This window comes from Homo sapiens, chromosome 10, assembly GCF_000001405.40.
Source record: "Homo sapiens chromosome 10, GRCh38.p14 Primary Assembly".
In the NCBI taxonomy this organism is placed as follows: Eukaryota; Metazoa; Chordata; class Mammalia; order Primates; family Hominidae; genus Homo; species Homo sapiens.
Window position 1 is genome coordinate 6,038,254 of NC_000010.11, and position 19,229 is coordinate 6,057,482.

At 43.8% G+C, this 19,229-nt stretch overlaps 1 protein-coding gene across 3 annotated transcripts in view, besides 5 other annotated features; it reads right to left on the bottom strand.

Annotated features, from left to right (window-relative positions):
- IL2RA (interleukin 2 receptor subunit alpha) overlaps positions 1-19,229 on the bottom strand; it is a 51,679-nt gene that overhangs the window by 27,565 nt on the left and 4,885 nt on the right. The gene's annotated exons all lie outside the window — the stretch shown is intronic.
- Positions 252-311: a silencer, noted in NCBI's record as "silent region_2095". NCBI's record gives its function as "represses an Ori minimal core promoter by ATAC-STARR-seq in GM12878 lymphoblastoid cells {active_cell/tissue: GM12878}" and the evidence as "EXISTENCE:reporter gene assay evidence [ECO:0000049][PMID:35858748]".
- Positions 12,372-12,751: an enhancer, noted in NCBI's record as "active region_2947". NCBI's record gives its function as "activates an Ori minimal core promoter by ATAC-STARR-seq in GM12878 lymphoblastoid cells {active_cell/tissue: GM12878}" and the evidence as "EXISTENCE:reporter gene assay evidence [ECO:0000049][PMID:35858748]".
- Positions 12,762-12,891: an enhancer, noted in NCBI's record as "active region_2948". NCBI's record gives its function as "activates an Ori minimal core promoter by ATAC-STARR-seq in GM12878 lymphoblastoid cells {active_cell/tissue: GM12878}" and the evidence as "EXISTENCE:reporter gene assay evidence [ECO:0000049][PMID:35858748]".
- Positions 12,982-13,251: an enhancer, noted in NCBI's record as "active region_2949". NCBI's record gives its function as "activates an Ori minimal core promoter by ATAC-STARR-seq in GM12878 lymphoblastoid cells {active_cell/tissue: GM12878}" and the evidence as "EXISTENCE:reporter gene assay evidence [ECO:0000049][PMID:35858748]".
- Positions 14,273-14,773: a transcriptional cis regulatory region, noted in NCBI's record as "chr10:6094489-6094989 region (GRCh37/hg19 assembly coordinates) targeted for CRISPR interference". NCBI's record gives its function as "positively regulates IL2RA gene expression in anti-CD3- and PMA-stimulated Jurkat T cells {active_cell/tissue: Jurkat(+anti-CD3 and PMA for 4hr)}" and the evidence as "EXISTENCE:mutant phenotype evidence [ECO:0000015][PMID:33828297]".

The window sequence follows — 19,229 nt, forward strand, 5'->3', positions numbered from 1 at the left end:
GTTATCTCTTACAAAGAGGTGGAGCTATGTCTAAACTATCTGGGTGCTGGGAGGTGTTTGTGTGATGTTGTGGTTTAGTTCAGATTATTATCTTTGAAGAAGTCAGAGGGCCCAGGCCCTCCATTTGGGGTTATCTATATAATAATAACTATGATGTCTGAGCCCTGCCTATGTGCTGCTTCTTTGCATATATTACCTTCAATGCTCACCATGGCTCTGGAAGGTAGATACTGTCATCCCCACTTTAGAAAGCAAGAGATTGAGGTTCAGAGAGATTAAGTAAGTTGGCTAAACCACACAGCTCAAGGTGGTGGGACAGGAGTCACGTGAAAGTCTACTATTGCTGCCCTCATGTCAGCCTTCTAAAAAATCTCACTTTTACTTTCAGGAAATTCTTTCAAATAGCAAACATAAATGCGCACAAAGAAGCAAGGAGGAAGAGGAGGGAACTGTGTAGAAAAGGTTTGTGGAGGCAATTTGTTCTAAGGTTATTTATTATTTGAGAGGAAGGCTATGATATTGGTTAAATCTAGGCTTTGTAAAGTCTGGATTCATGTTAAGATGTTAAAAATTACATCTAAAATGACAGAGTAAAGTGAATAACTTACAAGCTATTGGAAGAAAATAAAATAGGATAAAAACTTACTTAAATCAAAAGAAGGGGGAAATGCATAGAAAGAGAAGGTAAAAAATAAAGAACAAAATAAGACAGTGGAAATTCATCAAACTATATCAGTAATAATTATCAATGTGGATAGATTAACCCTGCAGTTACAGAATGTTGGACTGCATATATTTTTAAAAATATGCAGTTATATGATGTTTATAAGAGACATGCTTAAAGCATAAATGCTCCAAAAGTTTGAAACTAAAAGAATGGACAATTGAATCCAAGGAGTTATATTAACATCAGACTTCAAGGCAGAAGCATTAATAGAAATACAGAAGTCAGTACGTATTGCTAAAGATTCAATTCACCAGGAAAACATAAAAATGCTATATGTGTATGCACTCAAAAACATCACTTCAAAATATACAAATCAAGAATCAGGAAAACATAACACTTACGTACTTCTATGCACCCAATAACATAACTTCAAAATACACAAAGCAAATATTGACAAAACAAGGATAAATTTAGAAATCTACTATCATAATGAGAAATTTTAACAGTGTCTTCCTTTATGATGGATAGGACAGACAGAAAATCAGTAAGAACAATCAAATGTGATAACCACAATTAACAAATTTGATTCCAACAATAGCAGAGCCCACTCTTTTTTCAAGCACACATGGGACATTTACAAGGCAGTAGAGGAGTTGAAGGCAAGTTAGGGGCAAAGAGTGGGTATCTATGGGGTAGGAAAATGGAAGTCTAGATAAGGAATAAACAGAAGGAAATGTTGAAGGTAAAGCTCTGGGTGTCAGAATCTTCCTCCTCTTTCACTCACTGGCTCACTGTGGTCCCTTCTCATTTCAGATGCTCCGTCTGTAACACGAAATGAAAAGAATTCCTCCCAATCATGTAACCATAGGAGCTTCTCATACACCCCAAGCCATTTCCTTTTACCATGCTGATATGTCCTTTTAGGCCTCTTGACATAGTACCCCTTGCTGGGAATCCTGCCCCTGCCCATGAGCCAGGCAACAGAATGAAGGCTGCTCTTAACTATAAGGTGCCTGAAAGGTGGGTGGGAGTTCAACTGGAAGGTTAGGCACGTCAGGCCATTCTGGCAGAGAATGTGTAAAAGTGTAAAACAGCATCATCATATGGAAGATACAAGAGACTACAGGTAGAATGTTTTGCTGAAGCATGAATCGTGAGGGTATGAAGGATGGAAATATGAGGATCAGTTGAAATAACATAAGTGACATTGAAATCTGTAAAATGCTCCACAAATTTTGATTGTTGCTACAATGACCTCTTGAGCGGTGTTGTTTTTAGAACCCAATGATAAAATATATAGTTACTTTCTAAGCTGAAAAACAATAATTAAAGCGTTCATTGCTTAAAGCTTGATTGTGTCACAACGAGGAAATAGAGTTTCTTTTGAATTCATATTCTAAGAACTATTTATGAGAATGCTGTATTCGGTTGTTTCCTGTCACCTGTATTCACATTAATAGATTATAACGGATTTCAATCTACTGAAGCATAGTCAATTCTCTGATTGCTGCCAACCAAATCACCATGGTTGAATTTGAATATTTCCAGTCATTTTTGATGGTTGTTGCCTGCCCACATTACCTGTTATTTATTTAAACTACCTTATATACGAATACACTTTTATATATAATTTAGAATTTTTTCTTAGCCATCATTAAATCACACCTAAATTTGCAATACATGGTATTGTCTTAGTTGTTCACTTTGCCTTTTGTCTCTCTTTTCCTAAACCTACCTTTTCTTCCCCAAAGACACTCAAGGACTTAATGGCATCTTTGGGTTTTTCTCACTCCAATTGACTTTAAAAGAACCCTCGTTATTAGTGATCTGATAAAACTGGTAACATAGATAAGGCATACAATTGTTGGAAAAAGAGAAGATAAAAATAATCATTCTATGTGAGGAATTTAATTAAGTACTTAGAAAACCCAAGACGGTTAAAGTATTAGAACTATTAAGAGTTTCATAAGGTGGCCAGATAGAAAATTCATTTATAAAATTCAACATTTTTTATATATCAGCAACAACCAATCCAAAAATATAATGGGAAATGATATTTTTTAACAGTTGTCAATCCTTAGTTGCCAGAAATGTGCTAAGTTCTGAACAGAAGATCCTGGAACTGGGAGAGATGTTAATTAACTGTGGACTTTTAACATCACGAGTACTTTGAGAACTTAAAGGGTGAGTTAATTCTTTTTTTTTTTTTTTTTTTGAGACGGAGTCTCGCTTTGTCTCCCAGGCTGGAGTGCAGTGGTGCAATCTTGGCTCACTGCAAGCTCCGCCTCTCGGGTTCAGGCCATTCTGCCTCAGTCTCCCGAGTAGCTGGGACTGCAGGCGCCCACGATCACGCCCAGCTAATTTTTTTGTATTTTTAGTAGAGACGGGGTTTCACTGTGTTAGCCAGGATGGTCTCAATCTCCTGACCTCGTGATCCACCCGCCTCGGCCTCCCAAAATGCTGGGATTACAGGGGGGAGCCACTGCGCCCGGCCAATGGTGACTTAATTCTAAAAGTAGAATTAAAACATATAATACACAAACCAGTAGAAGGAAAAGAGAAAATAAAGGAAACTCAATCAATTTAACAGAAGACAAGAAAAGATAAATACAACAGTAAAAGAAAAATAATGGTTAATAAAAGTTCAAAGTAAAATAGCATAAATAAGTCCAAATGTAGTACAATAAATATAAATCAATTAAGCTTGCTTGTAAAAGACAGAGGTATTCTGATTGAGGGGGAAAAATTTCCCCCAAAGTCCTGCACAAGGTCTATTTTTGTTATGTCAAGAGACGTCTTTAAAATACAGTGACATGTGAAGGTTGAACTAAAGGGCTGGAAAACACATTATATGCAGATATTTAGCAACCAAAAGAAAGCTCGATAGCTTTAGTAACAGGAGAAACTAGACCAAAAAAGTATTTTCACAGATAAATATCACTGTGGAAGTTATAATAATCTTGACCCTGTAAACACTCAACAATACATATTGTTGATAAGGTAGCCAGATATAAGAAAGCTCCATAGCTACAATAACATAAGAGAAACTAGATCAAAAAGGCATTTTCACAAATAAAAATTATTCTGGAAGTTATGATAATCTTGAACATGTATACACTCAACAATACATATGGTTGATAAGGTGAAGAATTACAAAAAGAAATTAATTCTACAGTCAAACTGGAGAATGTTAACACATTTGCACCTGATGCTAGCAATGTATTAAGCAAAAAAAAAAAAAAAAAAAATTCTGATCAGTCAGAGTTTATCCCAGCAATAGTGAATGGTTTAACGTTAGAAAATCTCTCAATGTACTTAAATACTTTTATGGTATAAAGGAAGAAAACCTACACAATCATTTTAATAGATGAAGAAGAGCATCTAATGATGATGAAAAGAATATCCATTATTGATTAAAAGAAAAAAAACTTTTAAGGTAGTAGAAATAAAAAGAAACTTATTTAACCAATAGACAGTAGACACTGAAAGCTTACAGAAAATAACATGTACGTGATACCTTAAAAGCCTTCTATTTAATGGTGGAAACATATACAATTCCTGCTTTTATTCTATACTGTATTGAACACCCCAGCTAATGCAATGGAACAAGCAAAAGAAATTAGAGGAATAAGAAGTGGATAACAAAAAATAAAATTGTCATTTATAAGTAATAACGTCTACTTAGAAGATCCAAGAATCTATACTTATCCAAAGACTCAGTATCCGTAATACATAAGGAAGACTTACAAATCAATAAGTTAAAGGCCAACAACCCAATAAAAATAGGGACAAAGGATATGAACAAGGAGGCCACAGAGATGACCAAAAAAACATGTGGAAGCATTCTCAATATCACCAGGTATCAATGAAACTTAAGATAGTAATGAGATTTTATTTTATATTATCAGATTGGCAAAAAATGTTAAAATTTCCCTATGGTAAGTGATGATGAGGAATATGTGAGGAATTCAGGAAATTTCATAAATTGCTGATGAGGATTATAAATTAGCATAGCGATTTCAAAGAGAACATTTTAAATATAGCAGTAAAATTGAAGCTGTCCATGTTCTAGGATCAGTGATCTCACTTCTAGGTATATTCCTAGAGAAATTCTTGCATATGTGCACACATTCAAGGCTGTTTATTAGAGCATTGCTTGTAATAGGGAAAAATCAGATACAATCTAATTGTCCATCAAAAGAAGGTTAGATTAATAAACTTGGCATTATCAAGAACTCTGTATTATTATACAATGTAATAATGTACAGTTGTTAAAAAGAATAAACATCAAAAATGAATCTCAGAAACACTGCTGAGTGAAAAAAGCAAAGTTGCAAATAGAAACAGTATATTATGCATTTATGTATAAAATAAAAAACAAACCAGTAGTGTATATTGCATCATGAGATACAGCCCAGATTCAAGAGAGCAATTACTGGAGGGGAAGAATGAGATTGGGTTGGACCGAGAGGGAGCTCCACTGTATCTACAGCATGTATTTATTTGTTTTTGTTTGTGTTTGTTTTGTTTTTTTTTGAGATGGAGTCTTGCTCTGTCACCCAGGCTGCAGTGCAATGGCGAGATCTGGGCTCACTGCAACCTCTGCCTCCAAGGTTTAAGTGATTCTCCTGCCTCAGCCCCCCAAGAAGCTGGGATTACAAGCGCCTGCATCACATCAGGCTAATTTTTGTATTTTTAGTAGAAATGGGGTTTCACCATGTTGGCCAGGCTAGTCTTGAACTCCTGACCTCAGGTGATCTACCTGCCTCGGCCTCCCAAGGTGCTGGGATTACAGGCATCAGCCATCACGCACGACAAGAGCATGTATTTAAAATAAACAAAAAGGACATGAAACAACCAAGGTAAACTGTAAACATTTACTGAATCCTGATGATGGGCACATGTTGGTTATATTAATCTTTGTGTTTTTCTGTATTGGTTGAAATTTTAATAATTTTTAAATATTTATAGAACAAATAGGTTTTTCTTGACAACCTCCCAAATGTTAATTCTTTACCAAAGCTTCTTCCAAAGGAAGTGATTAGTTCAGGGCCTTTTCCTTCTGTCTGTGGATGTGGAACTTTATCAGAGAAAGAAACCCCCCTCTCCCCAAACTCAGTGGCAAGTCCACAGCGGGGAAAGTCTAACTCCCAATTTTATTTATGAAGTCAATCATCCAAATCACCTCTCAGTCCTCAGCAGCTGAATTCAACACAATGATTAAGCCTAGAGCATCTTCCTAGAGAAGGTGGTAGTGATGCAGGACAAGCGAGCCCCGAGGTGGGGCTTAGCCCGCAAGGGTTCTTGGCTTTGCCCAGGAAGGAATTCAGGGGCAAGCCAGTGGTAGAATAAAAGAAAACAGCTTTATTGAAGTGGCAATGTTATAGTTCCGGCTGTGCTACAGCTCCGTGACTGCTTCTGTAGAGCAGGGCGACCACATAGGCAGAGAGTAGTAGGTCAGGGCAGTTTTGCATTCATATTTATATCTGCTTTTAATTACACGCAGTTTAAGGGGCAGTTTGCAGAAATTTCTAGGGAAGGGGTAGTAACTTTTGGGTCATCCGGTCACTGCTATGGAAAGGAGCAGGAACGCCTGGGTGTTGCCATGGCAATGGTAAACTGACATGGCACACTCATGAGCATGTCTTATGGAAAGCTGCTTCTGCCCCAATCCTGTTTTTGCTAGTCCTCAATTTTGTCCGATGTCTGAGCCCTGCCTCGGGGGTTGAGTCCCAACTTCTACCTCAGTAGGAAGATTTTTAAATGGCATAATTACAGAGATATAAAATTTATGTATGCATGTGACCAGAGGAAAAAATAAGACAGTGCAAAATATAAGTGGTGGTATAGGGACTTCACCTCCCACTCCCCCTCCACCCACTCTTTGCTGGATCAGCACCCAAGAGCAGAGCACAAGCCTTGGGCCATGGTAGGTTCTGAATGAGTAGTTGAGTGTATTAGCATTAGCACTGGTGCTGTTACCCATTGATTGGTTCATTCAAGCAAACATTCACCTTCCTTGTTTCATTCAGCAAGCACAAATGTTGAAGGAAATGTGGGAGAAGTAAAGTGCCTGTCTCAGGGCTTGGGGGATTTAAGGAAGTTGCTGTCATCAAAGAAAAGTTGCCTGATTCCCTCGGGAAAGGAGAAGAAGGCGGTGTGGTTCAAGGAGGAGACCTTGGCTTCAAGGAGGAGATCTCCGAGCACTTGGACACATCTCTGCAGTAATTAGCACAGAAGCACCATGAGTTATTTGTTATCTGACCCACAGTTTCTGAGGCCTGGTTGACTGGGTCAAATAGTCAGAGTTTCCGTAACCCTAAAATGAGTAACTCACAGGGTAAGACCCTTTTGGAGAACAACTGTGCCTTACTCAACACTTGTTAAACAACAACGAAATGATGGGGTGGTGGGGTGGAGGGATCTAGTTATTTTGTCTTTACTTAGAAGGGAAAAAAGAAGCAGGAAACCAAAAATACCCCTACAAGCAGCTGCCGCTAAACCATCACATTTTGGGACCTCAGATGCTTCTGCAAATGAAATGTTGGGCGCTGGTTATGTTCTAATCCTGGGAGTCTTCTCGGTCGACAACAGGCTTCCGGGCATGAAAGAGTTAACCACAAGCTCACCACAGAATGTCAACCTGATTAAAATAAAAGTTATCAGATTTAAAAGGGGGAAGTAGAAACACACTCTTTTTCTTTCTCTGAAATCTAAAAGCAGTTTTTCCTCAAATCTTTAAAACCAATTTCTTGGGATGGAGTCATATTTTTAGTAGAAATATGCTAAATTGGTGACTCCCACCCACAGTCTTTTCTGCAAGGAGAGAGACTCTTCTGAGAAACTGGAGCGAGGAGCTGAGGAAATTTTCAACTCAACGGAATTTCCCCTGAGACTGTAAAGAAACACAGAATAAGTAAGTATAACTTACAGGTAGAAACTTGACAAGAGGGAAACAGAAAAGAAGGAAAAAGAAAAAGTCATCAAAAATGATGGCAACCTCCAAAGTCATGATGCTAAGAGTTTCTCCTGGGAACCTCAGTCCAGTTGGTGTCAGGTGAGGGCCGGTCCTGTTAACACAAATCCTAATTGTCAGGCTGACCAAGCCCACGTGTCCAGAACCCTCTCCAGAGCTCTCCTCAGGGGTTCCCAGCAGCCAGGCTCACTCTGCCCTGCTCCTCACCCATCTCGCAGGGGAACCTCTTGTACCCCTTTTCCTTCCTGCTCTCAAGAATTCACACTCCGTTTTACACAAGACACACATTGCATACACTGTGTGTTGTTGACAGGGATCATGCCTTTTCACAGACAATGACAATCCAAATGTGGAAACACAGGGAGAAAACCATGGGAAGTGGGGAGCACTGATTGAGGTTCTGGGGTCCTGGCGCTTTCAGATACTACCATGATCTGCTAGTCTACTGTGATTTTGCTTAAGAAGGGTTCAGTAGAGACAAACAGCATCATAAAAGTGTCAAATCCGTGTGTTCACAGATGCTACCCCAGACATCGGGTAAGACAATGACATTTCAGGCACTGTGGGATTGATGGAGTGGACAGCATAGAGCAGAGAGCTTACGGTTGTAGGTTACGTGGTACCAAAAGCCCATGCCTGTGCTCCAGGGACTGTTCTCAGACACATAAATGCAACCTCAAGGCTTTTGCTGAGTTTAGTCTTTGTATTCATCTGTGAGTGGGTCAAAATGCCTGTCTGCTGCCCTGGCCCTCTTCTGCAGCCATGCTGAGAGGAAATACAGGCTTGCATTTCTCCAGAGTTCCTTGAAAGCATTGGTGCTCAACTATCCCTGCCTTAACACAAATTCTTAGTCAACACACAACATTTGATCTCTGATAGTTTCAGTGGGTGGGTTCTATTCTTTTCAACAGATACCTCAGGGTTAGTGGGGGTGAGCTCAGATGCTCCTGCAATGGGCATTCACACTGGGCTTCTTGGAGAGCTGAATTCCAAGGTGGCCACGTTTCCTAAGGACATGGGAACTTAAGATGCAGGCAGGGATCCCATGTCCTACTGGAAGGTTTAAAGACTTCCTCAGCACAGTGCTGAGAAGATCCTGCTTTTTACTCGGGTGTGGGACAAGTAGTTATGAAGCCACAGAATGTTAGGACTGAAAGGGACAAAGACCCTCTCCATGTCTCTGCATGCTTGCATGGAGAACATGCATTGTCCAAGGACCCTCAAATCCCTGCATGCCCTGCGCATGCCCTAACCCTGAGGAGGTGCTGAACCCTTGCTGATGTGCAGAAGGGGTTAATCAGACCATGTGGACACAGGTAGCCCAAGGAACAACCCCCATGCCAACAGCACTCCATCCCGACCTCATACCATGTGCACAGCACCTGATGCTGGTGGGGTCAGGAGTGTGGCCTGTGCCACACTCAGAACGCGGGATGAACATAGAGGAAACACTAGAATGGCAAAGGCTGGTTGTCACCTGGGGGCCTCAGAAGCCACGGCACCAGAGGAGAGCTCAGGAGTCAGCCTGCTCCAAAGCTCTTCCTGCCTGTAGCATGCACCCTGTGCCTCCGGGCCACCAAAAACAGCAATCACGTCAGCTGAGACGCAACACACTGCATGCCGAACACACAGGAGAGCTCACACGCACAAATGTTCTCGGCTTCCCAGACACCAATGAAGGAGCTTATTATGAATATGAAGGATAATTAACGTATCTATTATTTTATTAGACATCACAATTCAAATACAATAAAGTATATAAATATAAATATATAATAAATGAAATATATAAAATACCATCTTAGCTTATGAAATTATCTTATATGATAAAATAATTATACAGATATATAATAAGCAATTAGGGTATGTTATATAAAATACTATAGTATACTCATTAATATAATTAGTATATTATATGATAAATATATATAATAAAAGACATCATACACTAATAGAGTATAATAGTCAATATAATTAAAATTATTACTTATGCAGTAATTAATTATGAGGTGATGTGTTCTTCTCATCTCCGTTCTCTAGAGGCAGGAACTAAGGCACAGAGAGGCCCAGTGACTTGCCCAGAGACACACAGCCCCTCAGTGGTGGAGCTAGGACTTGGACCCAGGCAGCCTGACAAGTGCGTGCTCTTACGCACAAGTGTCTGCCTGTCCTCCCGCCTATCCTCCCTCATGTGCTGGCTGCATCCTGCTCCCGTGGCCCCTGACCCTCAACTGCCCTTGTCATGTGCCCGTCATGCATCACAGGAAGGCTGTCATGGGAGTCCTGAGGTGGGTGGTGATAAGTAAGCAAGAAGAGGGGTTGCTGGCGTTAAGAGATTTTAGAAGTTGGAATTGCCAAAAATTGAGGCTGGATTATTAGGTGCATGGAGGACAGCAAGGAAGAAATGAGGATTTTGCCCAGATTTCCTGGGCGATGGGGAGGATGGGGTGCCATTCATTGAGATAGCAAAGAGAGGAGAAAGAGTAGGTTCCAGGGAGGGAGGACAGTTCTGGATGTGTAGACTGAGCAGCCTGTGAGGCATCCACACGGAAAGGTCCGAGGGAAGGGCCTTTGGCCATGCAGACTAGAAGCCCAGCAAGTCACATTTAGTGAGCACCTACTGTGTGCTCTGGTCACTCTAGGCAGGCTAGCTTATGTAGCCTTACAGCACCCAGCAGGGTCTGTGTTATTCCCATTTTATACGAACAGAAGCTGAGGCCCACCGAGGTTAAAACCCTACCCTCATGGACTTCCATGGAGGTTACTCAATGCCCTATGGGTTTGCCTTTCTGCTTCCCTTCATTCTTCACATAAACCCAGTGCTTTCTCTTCTTCCTTCATTCTTCACATAAACCCAATGCTGTCTCTCCAAAGTACAAGCCATGCCCTGACTGAGACCCCTCTGGGATGTTCTGTTCCTTCCAGGACACAGTTTAAGCCCAGTGACATGGGGAGACTCCAAGACACAGCTCATGCCCAACTTCAAAATCTCTGCTTCCACTATGTGCCTGAGCTCTCCTGCCTTGCGGGACTCTGCGTGGCTCTTGGAGCTCACCATGTGTTTTGTCTTGGGCCTTGGTCATTGTATTATTCAGGGAAACAGAATTTCTCTAGAGAAACAAAACCAATAGGATGTATGTAGATAAATAAGAGAATATTTATAATGGGAGTTGGCTCACTCAATTATGGAGGCTGAGAAGTCCCACAATATGCCAGCTGGAGCTGGATAACTAGGAAAGCTGGTGGTGTGGCTCAGTCTAAGACTGAAGGCCTGAGGAGCAGAGGGGCCCTGCTGTAAGTCCCAGAGTCCAAAAGCTGGAGAACCAGGAGTGCAAATGTCCAAGAGCAGACGACGGATGTCCCAGCTTGAACAGAGAGAATGCAACCTTCCTCTGCCTTCTTGTTCTATTCTGGTCCTCTATGGTTGGATGATCCCCACCACACTGGTGAGGGTGATTTTCTTTACTCAGTCTACCAACAAGAAATTTACCCAGTCTATTCAATTCAAATGCTAGTGTCTCCTGGAAATACCCTCACAGACACCCCCAGAGAGACTGTTTAGCCAGCTATCTGGGCATCCCTTAGCCCAGGCAAGTGGACACATTGAAATTGACCATCATGCTCATGCCACACTTCCCTAATGCATTTCTACCTTCTTAACTCCTGCTTTCCCTGGAGGTCTCCCATTGGCTGTCATCTTTCTCTGGGAAGCCTCCGGGACTCTTCTGTCTGTGCTTTGTGGCATTTCTCTGCAGTCCCAGACTTTGCTCCCTTTTCTTTACACGGCACTCACCCTACTGTATCCATCTCCCTCCCACCACCTTGCTAGTGCCTGCACAGAATGGCATGCAAAGGTTTTCGTAAAGGAAAGTAGAAATTCACAAGTTCAAGCTAGGATTTGAATTCAAGCTGTCAACTTTCCAAATTCATAAGACTTTTCCATTCTCTCAAGACGCTTTTCTGGTTGGGAAAAATTCCGGTAGGCAGACAAGATGGGGAAGATTGTTCCAGTAAGGGAGGAGGGTGTTCCTGGGAGTCCAGCTTTGAAATCACAAATGAGGAGGTTCCCTTTGAAGGACAGGAGGAGACCTGCTGGCCAAGGCGTGCTATGTGCTGAGGGAACAGTCTTGGCTGGGGAGCATGTTGTGTGCCAGGCAGAGGAGGTAGCAAAGTGCCCCTGAGGCAATGGAAATGACTGGAGCTCTTGCAGCCGAAAGGGCATCACGACAGGTGCTTTCAGGGGAGATTAACTTGGGGATGAATAACAGGGTGACTGAAAACCAGAGCTTCAGGGCCTGCCTAGGCAGCCCAGGAGATGAACAGTGCCTGTTGACAGCTTGCTTCCTGTGTCGGCCTGAATGCATGGGTTCTGCTCAGATCTACTGGCTCCTTGCTTTCTTGGGAGAGTGAATTACTGCCTCATGGTCTCAGTTTCCTCATCCGTAAAATGGGAATGGTGGCAGGGCGTGGTGGCTCAAGCCTGTAATCCCAGCACTTTGGGAGGCTGAGACTGGTGGATCAATTGAGGTCAGGAGTTTGAGACCAGCCTGGCCAACATGGTCTCTACTAACCTGTCTCTACTAAAAATACAAAAATTAGTCAGGCATGGCGATGGGGCATGCCTGTAATCCCAGCTACTGGGGAGGCTGAGGCATGAGAATCTCTTGAACCCGGGAGGCAGAGGTTGCAGTGAGCCGAGATCATACCACTGCACTCCAGTCTGGGCAACAGAGTGAGACTCTGTCTCAAAAAAAAGGTGGTTGGGGTGGGGGAATAGTGCTAACAGTCCCCATCTCCTATGGTGGCCATGAGGAATCTGTAAGATCACAGAAGCAGAGCACGCAGCAAGGCCTCCCTGGCCCGGGAGTGCTCAGAGCTGGGATCCCAGTGCAGGACGAGGAGGAGGAGGATGGGTGCCCTGGCTACAGGTCCTCTTGCACTAGATTGAAAACGGGGCCAGAGAAGCAGAGCTTGAGAGACGCTGGGAGAGGGAAAGTGAAACTGATGGTCCGGTGGGTGAAAGGTAGTGAAAGCCCGAAGTGCAGTAAACCAGGGATCAACATCTCCAGCCAAAAGGCTCACCCTGTGGTCTCAGCGCCACCTGGGCGTCAGACAGATGTCTGGAGAGACGGCTCTTTTATTCTGAAACACCCCTCCAACTTTTTTTTTTTTTTGGTAATTGTTTGTTTTGCTTTCCATTTAATATAAGGAGTTTTCTCCTTTACAAAAGTTCTTTTTGTTCTAAATCAGGCTGTAAACAGAGGTGCTACCACAAGGACCGGAAGCAGAGACCACACTGGTGCTCAGCTGGGTTGCAGGCTCTGCCTGGTTTCATTGTCGGGGAAGCCACCAGGCCTGCCCCCAGCCAGCGAGATGTCACGCATGCAGCCGGGTGTCATCCCCAAAACTCCCGGGAAACTCTCGGGGCACCAGGGCAGGAAGAGGCTGACGTCAACTTTAACTCCGGGGACTTCAAACGAAACTTTTAGAAATGATTCCTTTGCCCTTTACTTGGTGACGTAATAAACTGATCTTTCTCTGAAAAGATGGGCCGATTTGCTTCAAGGAGCTCATTTCATGAGGAGAAAATACACACAAATATATATATATATATATATATATTTTTTTTCTTTTTTTTTTTGAGACGGAGTTTCCCTCTGTCACCCAGGCTGGAGTGCAGTGGCTCAATCTCGGCTCACTGCAACCTCAGCCTCCAGGTTCAGGGGATTCTCCTGCCTCAGCCTCCCTGAGTAGCTGGGATTACAGGCATGTGCCACCACACCTGGCTAACTTTTGTATTTTTAGTAGAGACGGGGTTTCACCATGTTGGTCAGCTGTTCTCGAACTCCTGACCTCAGGTGATCTGCCCGCCTCAGCCTCCCAAAGTGCTGGGATTACAGACGTGAGCCATCATGCCCAGCTATATATATATATATATATATATATAGAATTTTTTAAGGAAACATTGCTGCTTTGCTACAAAGTATATAATAATGTAAACTGGACTAATACGATTCCTTCCTCCTTTCCTTGGAGAAGTCACAGACTTTTAGGATTGGAGAACGGTTCACATGCATGTGTGTGGGGCAGTTGGTCAGAGCTGTCCATTATGAAAGGTGCTTCTAGAATACTTGGGGAATGTGGGAGCTAGAAAACAGGTTGTTATTAAAGGAATTGAAATACTCCCACTTGAAATGTTCCCATTTTCTCTGTAAAGGAATTTCTTGAGCAAAGGAAAACTCTACATCCTCTGTCTACCTGAAGTTCAAAATTAGTGGTGTTTGGTTTTAATAATTTTAGTAGTTGATGACAAAACAACGCTCTCTGCTGTCCTCTCTGTCACATCTAACATGATGTGAATGAGGCAGTCCCTGATGTGAGATGTGCTGGGTTTTGCAGGGGTAATGAACATCGATCTGTGTGTTCCATCGACTCCTTCTTTAAACTTGTATCTCAGCACTTAGCCTGTGTCATAATTGTCTGTGCAGAGGTCAAGGATGGGCTCTTATTCATCTCTGTGTCTCAAACCCTGTGCCTGACACATAGCAGTTCCTCAATGAACATTTGCTGAATGAATGAATGAACAAAGGAATGAACAAACCAATAGCCGGAAGTCCTACCACACAAGAGGTTGTCTCCAATCTCCCTGACTTTCCCTCTTCCTCCTGTACCCTCAACCCATCAGCTGCCTGTACTGCTGTAGCAACAACTTCTCTCTGAAAACCTTCCCAGGGGAGAAAACGCGCCCCCCCTCACGCCTCAGAGGCACACACCTATCCTAGCCTTTGTTTTTTTATTGCTGAGAGTACAGAAAGCAGCGGCTTCTGAAGGAGGTATCTATTTTGGTCCCAAACAGAAAAGAGTGGGTGATTCTGTGGGCAGAGGTGGCAATTCCTGAATGTGGTATGGTGACTCACGCCCGGAGGTGCTCAGAATTTCCTCTGTTTTGTGGCTGCTGGGGCAGGTGCGACACTGCCGCTTTCTCTAAAGATGCCCCCAAGCTGCTCTGGGGGTAGAAGGAAGGCTGCAGGGAACAGCAGGACCCGGAGAACCCAGACCCCAAGGACCAGGTGGTCCTTAAGCCATCCTGCAGGAGGCCGGCTGCTCTAGCAGGTTGAGGAGTGCCACGCGGCTCTGTGGGTACCGCCTCACTGCATGTACCTGGGGCTGAAGGAGCAGTGGGCATTACTCACAGCCTATTACTTCACCTTTGTAAAAAACAAAAATAACTTCCCTGCTCACATGGCACCTTTGTCTTTGACCTTTAGCAGCAGTTTAGACAGGAGGAAAAAAGGCAGGTTCTGGAATGAGAGCGCCTGCTTCCTATCCTAGCCCCTTCCTCGTTGGGCTACATCAGGCAACCCATTTAATCTCTGTAAGCCCATTTAACCACAGTTCACCAGGCAGAAAATGGGGATAATCATATGACCTACTTTATTTTGAGAATTAACCAAAGTAATACTATGTCTGAACATAATACCTGAAAGATAGCATTTAGGCAATGGATATTCACTGTGGTGGTTCTAGCTAGTGTTCAAATGTTTTCTGGAACAAAGCTTGAAGCAAATAAGAACGAAAGGAAACATAACTATCAGTATCGGAGTTGGTGCATGGGCCGGCTTTAACCAGTCATGTTTCCTAGTCTATAGCTTTGCTCATTTTCTTACCAAAGGAAATCAGGGCCTGTTGGAGACTGTCCTATTTTCCACGCTCTTTAGAATAAAGAAACCAATGGCTTTCACAAACTTCCTTATTTAAAATTAATTATCATTTTAAAAAATAGAGGTGGGGTCTCACTATGTTGCCCAGGCTGGTCTCAAACTCCTGGGCTCCAGGGATCCTCCCCTCTTGGCCCCCCAAAGTGCTGGGATTACAGGAATGAGCCACTGCACCTGGCTGCAGCTTCCTTTTTATTCTTTTGAAACATTGCTCTTTCTTCTTCTTTTGGGTAAAAGGACTCAATTGCTGCTAGTCCAATTGCACCAGCTTGTTCTTGCACTGCATACAGCGTGGGAGGAAAAAGCCTGGGAAACGGGGGGACATGGGCCAGCGAGCTCATCCGGCCACACCTTCCACCATGGGGCAGGCCCCTCTACTGGCACAGGATGTCAATACTCCTGATCCGTATCTTGCCTTCCCTCCACCCGTTCCTCTTCCTCCCAGCACAGTGACCTTCCGGTCAACCCCACCCATGCCACCCACACTTTGTTGCCCTGGAGTTTCCTGCCACCTGAACCCCTCCTTAAGCAGGATGCCTGGATCCGGGTCGAGGGCTGCAGGCGGAGCTGCTGGTCAAAAACCCCCCGGGGAACTGGTTGGGTGTGGGAGTGGGAGAATGGGCTGTCAGGACAAAAGCACTGGGACTCCAGCCCTGTGGTGTGCACGTGGCTCGGGCTGGGTCAGGAAAAAAATGTGGAGGTAGGGAAACAAGACCCAGGAACTCTTTGGCTGCCATCCAGGGTCATGTGGTGCTGGTGATAAGTGATCAGTGACCCATTGAACCGAGGACGTCTACCGGGGACCAATGACACCTGTAGACACTGCAGGGTTGAAGCTGGGGGAGAAGCACTCACATGCTGTCTGTCTGAGCAAAAGTATTCGTTTTTGTCCGAGAATCTGAGACTCATTTGCTTGGCACACACACACAAAACTTCATGTATGTTGAAATATGGCTCATTATGTAGTTGTCCTGGCAAACCCCTCATCTCTCTAATTGGTCAGCTCACTACTCATGGAACACGGTCCATGTACACGACTCCAGCAGCATCACTAGAAAACACCATTCTCCAGCCCCTCTCCTGATATTCAGAACCACCATTCAGAGCCAGGAGGTCCCAGGGCCACCTTCTCTGAGAATTTTTTTTCTAGTTCTCCAGGTAGCATGTTACTCTCCCTATTCTGATCATTTATGGCATTATTTGCAATGTTTGATCAATATTTGATCTTTCCCAGATTGGTTTTCCCTTTTTCTAATTTTTTTTTAAGAGGCAGAGTCTCACTATGTTGCCCAGGCTGGTTTTGAACTCCTGGGCTCATGGGATCCTCCTGCCTTGGCCTCCCAAAGTGCAGGTATTACAGGCATGAGCTATCACACTCAGCCTATTTTCTCATTTCAGTCGCAAGTTCTGTGTGGGTAAAAGCAATGCGTATTTATTCTCTGACTTGATAGCCTTGTTACTCAAAATGGGGTTCATGCACCCACAACATAGGCCTCCTGTGGAACCTGTTTGCACCAGAATCTTAGGCGGTAACCCCTGACCTCCCGAGTCAGAATTTGCTCCGTGACAAGATCCCTGGATGATTTCTAAATGCATTAAAGGTTGAGAAGTACTGCTTGAGCATACCTGTTCCTAGTGAATCAGACCAACCATGGAAATCATTATTCCATCTCTCTAATTTGGTGAGTTTCAATCCTAAGTGCGATTTGGAAGTATTCAAGGAACTGGAAGGGAAGGTATTGTGATGTTCGGTTCTGTTCCCCAGAGAGTCCGCTTAATTCATCTTATGAGTCTTGGCCATCACTTTTTTTTTTTTTTTTTTTTTTTTTTTTTTTTTTTCACCGCCCTTAATCCATTTAATCCTGAGTGGACACAGCACATGTTTCAGAGAGCACAGGGTTGGGGGTAAGGTCACAGATCAACAGGATCCCAAGGCAGAGGAATTTTTCTTAGTGCAGAACAAAATGAAAAGTCTCCCATGTCTACCTCTCTCTACACAGACACGGCAACCATCCGATTTCTCAATCTTTTCCCCACCTTTCCCGCCTTTCCATTCCACAAAGCCGCCATTGTCATCCTGGCCCGCTCTCAATGAGCTGTTGGGCACACCTCCCAGACGGGGTGGTGGCCGGGCAGAGGGGCTCCTCACTTCCCAGTAGGGGCGGCCGGGCAGAGGCGCCCCCCACCTCCCGGACGGGGCGGCTGGCCGGGCGGGGGGGCCGACTCCCCCCACCTCCCTCCCGGACGGGGCGGCTGGCCGGGCAGAGGGGCTCCTCACTTCCCAGTAGGGGTTGGCCATCACTTTTTAAAGCATCCTGGATATACACTAATGTACAGCTGGCGTTTTGAACCATTACTCTCCACACATTTCCCAGTGGGAACTGTGTTTTCTTTTTGACAGAAGCAAACCACGGAGTCGCCTTGAGATCAGTCAAAACACTGAGTAATCTTAGAGTGGAGAATACCTAAAATTTCTAGAGACAATTATATTATTGTTTTCCCCTAAATGAGTGAGTTACTTGAGAATATGGTGGGGTATTCAGTGGGGGCTATTGGCAAACACTGTTGGCTGACTTCAGAATGGGAGCCATTCAGCAGCAGTTTCATCTCCCGTGTTAAACTGTGAGCACAAGAGGATAAGAGCTGGAACTTTCTTCATCTCTGTAATCCTCATGCATGAATGGATGGATGAAGGAATATCACTGAGAATTCATGTAAAGATGTGCAGATGTGCAGGGAATATTGAACTGAAATTTAAGAGGGCTGGATTCAAGTTCAGCTTCTATGTGAACTCTTTCAGTGAAGAAGGTCTTATAACTTTTAGAAGTAATCAACTGAATTAAGATTCTCTTTTCAGCTGGGCACAGTGGCTCATGCCTGTAATCCCAGCACTTTGGAAGGCCCATGCAGATGGATGGCTTGAGGCTCGGAGTTCAAGACCAGCCTACGCAACATAGCAAAAACCCCCTCTCTACTAAAATTACAAAAAAGGAGCCAGGCATGGTGGTGCACACCTGTAATCCCAGCTACTCAGGAGACAGAGGCAGGAGAATCACTTGAACCCAGGAGCTGAAGGTTGCAGTGAGTTGAGATTGCACCACTGTGCTCTAGCCTGGGCGACAGAGCGAAACTGTCCAAAAAAAAAAAAGATTCCCCTTTCTCTTCTCTCAGGGAATGGCCTGGGATAGAGAAGAGAAACAGGTTCCCACTCATGTAAAACTTCTCCCATGGGAGACAAGGACATTGTTTGAGGGGAAAATTCCTACACAAGCAAACAAACAGCAGAGGACCCCGCCCTCCCTGTCCAGGGCAGGAGCACAGTGGACCACCTGCTGCCCCTGTGTCTTGGGGCCTCTCTCCCTGGAATGTCACTGATGGAAATTTACCAGTCCCTCAGGGCTCCCTTTCCATGTCACCCTCATGAAGCTTTCTCTGATAGCCCCATGCTCAGTAGATCTTACCACATATGACTTGTGTTACCATGACTATATCTATGCCTTTCTCCTCCTCACCAACTTATGACTCTCTTAAGGATCAGGACTATGTCGCTCATTTTTACATTTCCTATAGTATTGAAAAGGGGCATGAGAGATATTGGATAGATTTTGAGAATTGAGTGAGTGGAGTTTTTGCGTTGACACCTGCAACTGCAGCAATTACAGAAGCAGTGGGTCATGCTGGCTGCCAGGCAGTACTTCTTCAGAGCTGGAAATAACCCACAATGAGACATCAGGCTTGGGTGCATTGATACACAAAAGTCGCTCAACCCTGACCGTGCCAGTATGTCTTCATTTGGGAAACTTTTTCATCCCAAAGTTCCCCAGCTTGAAAATGCCTTTTAAGCAGAGCTTATTTTATTTCCTTTCTG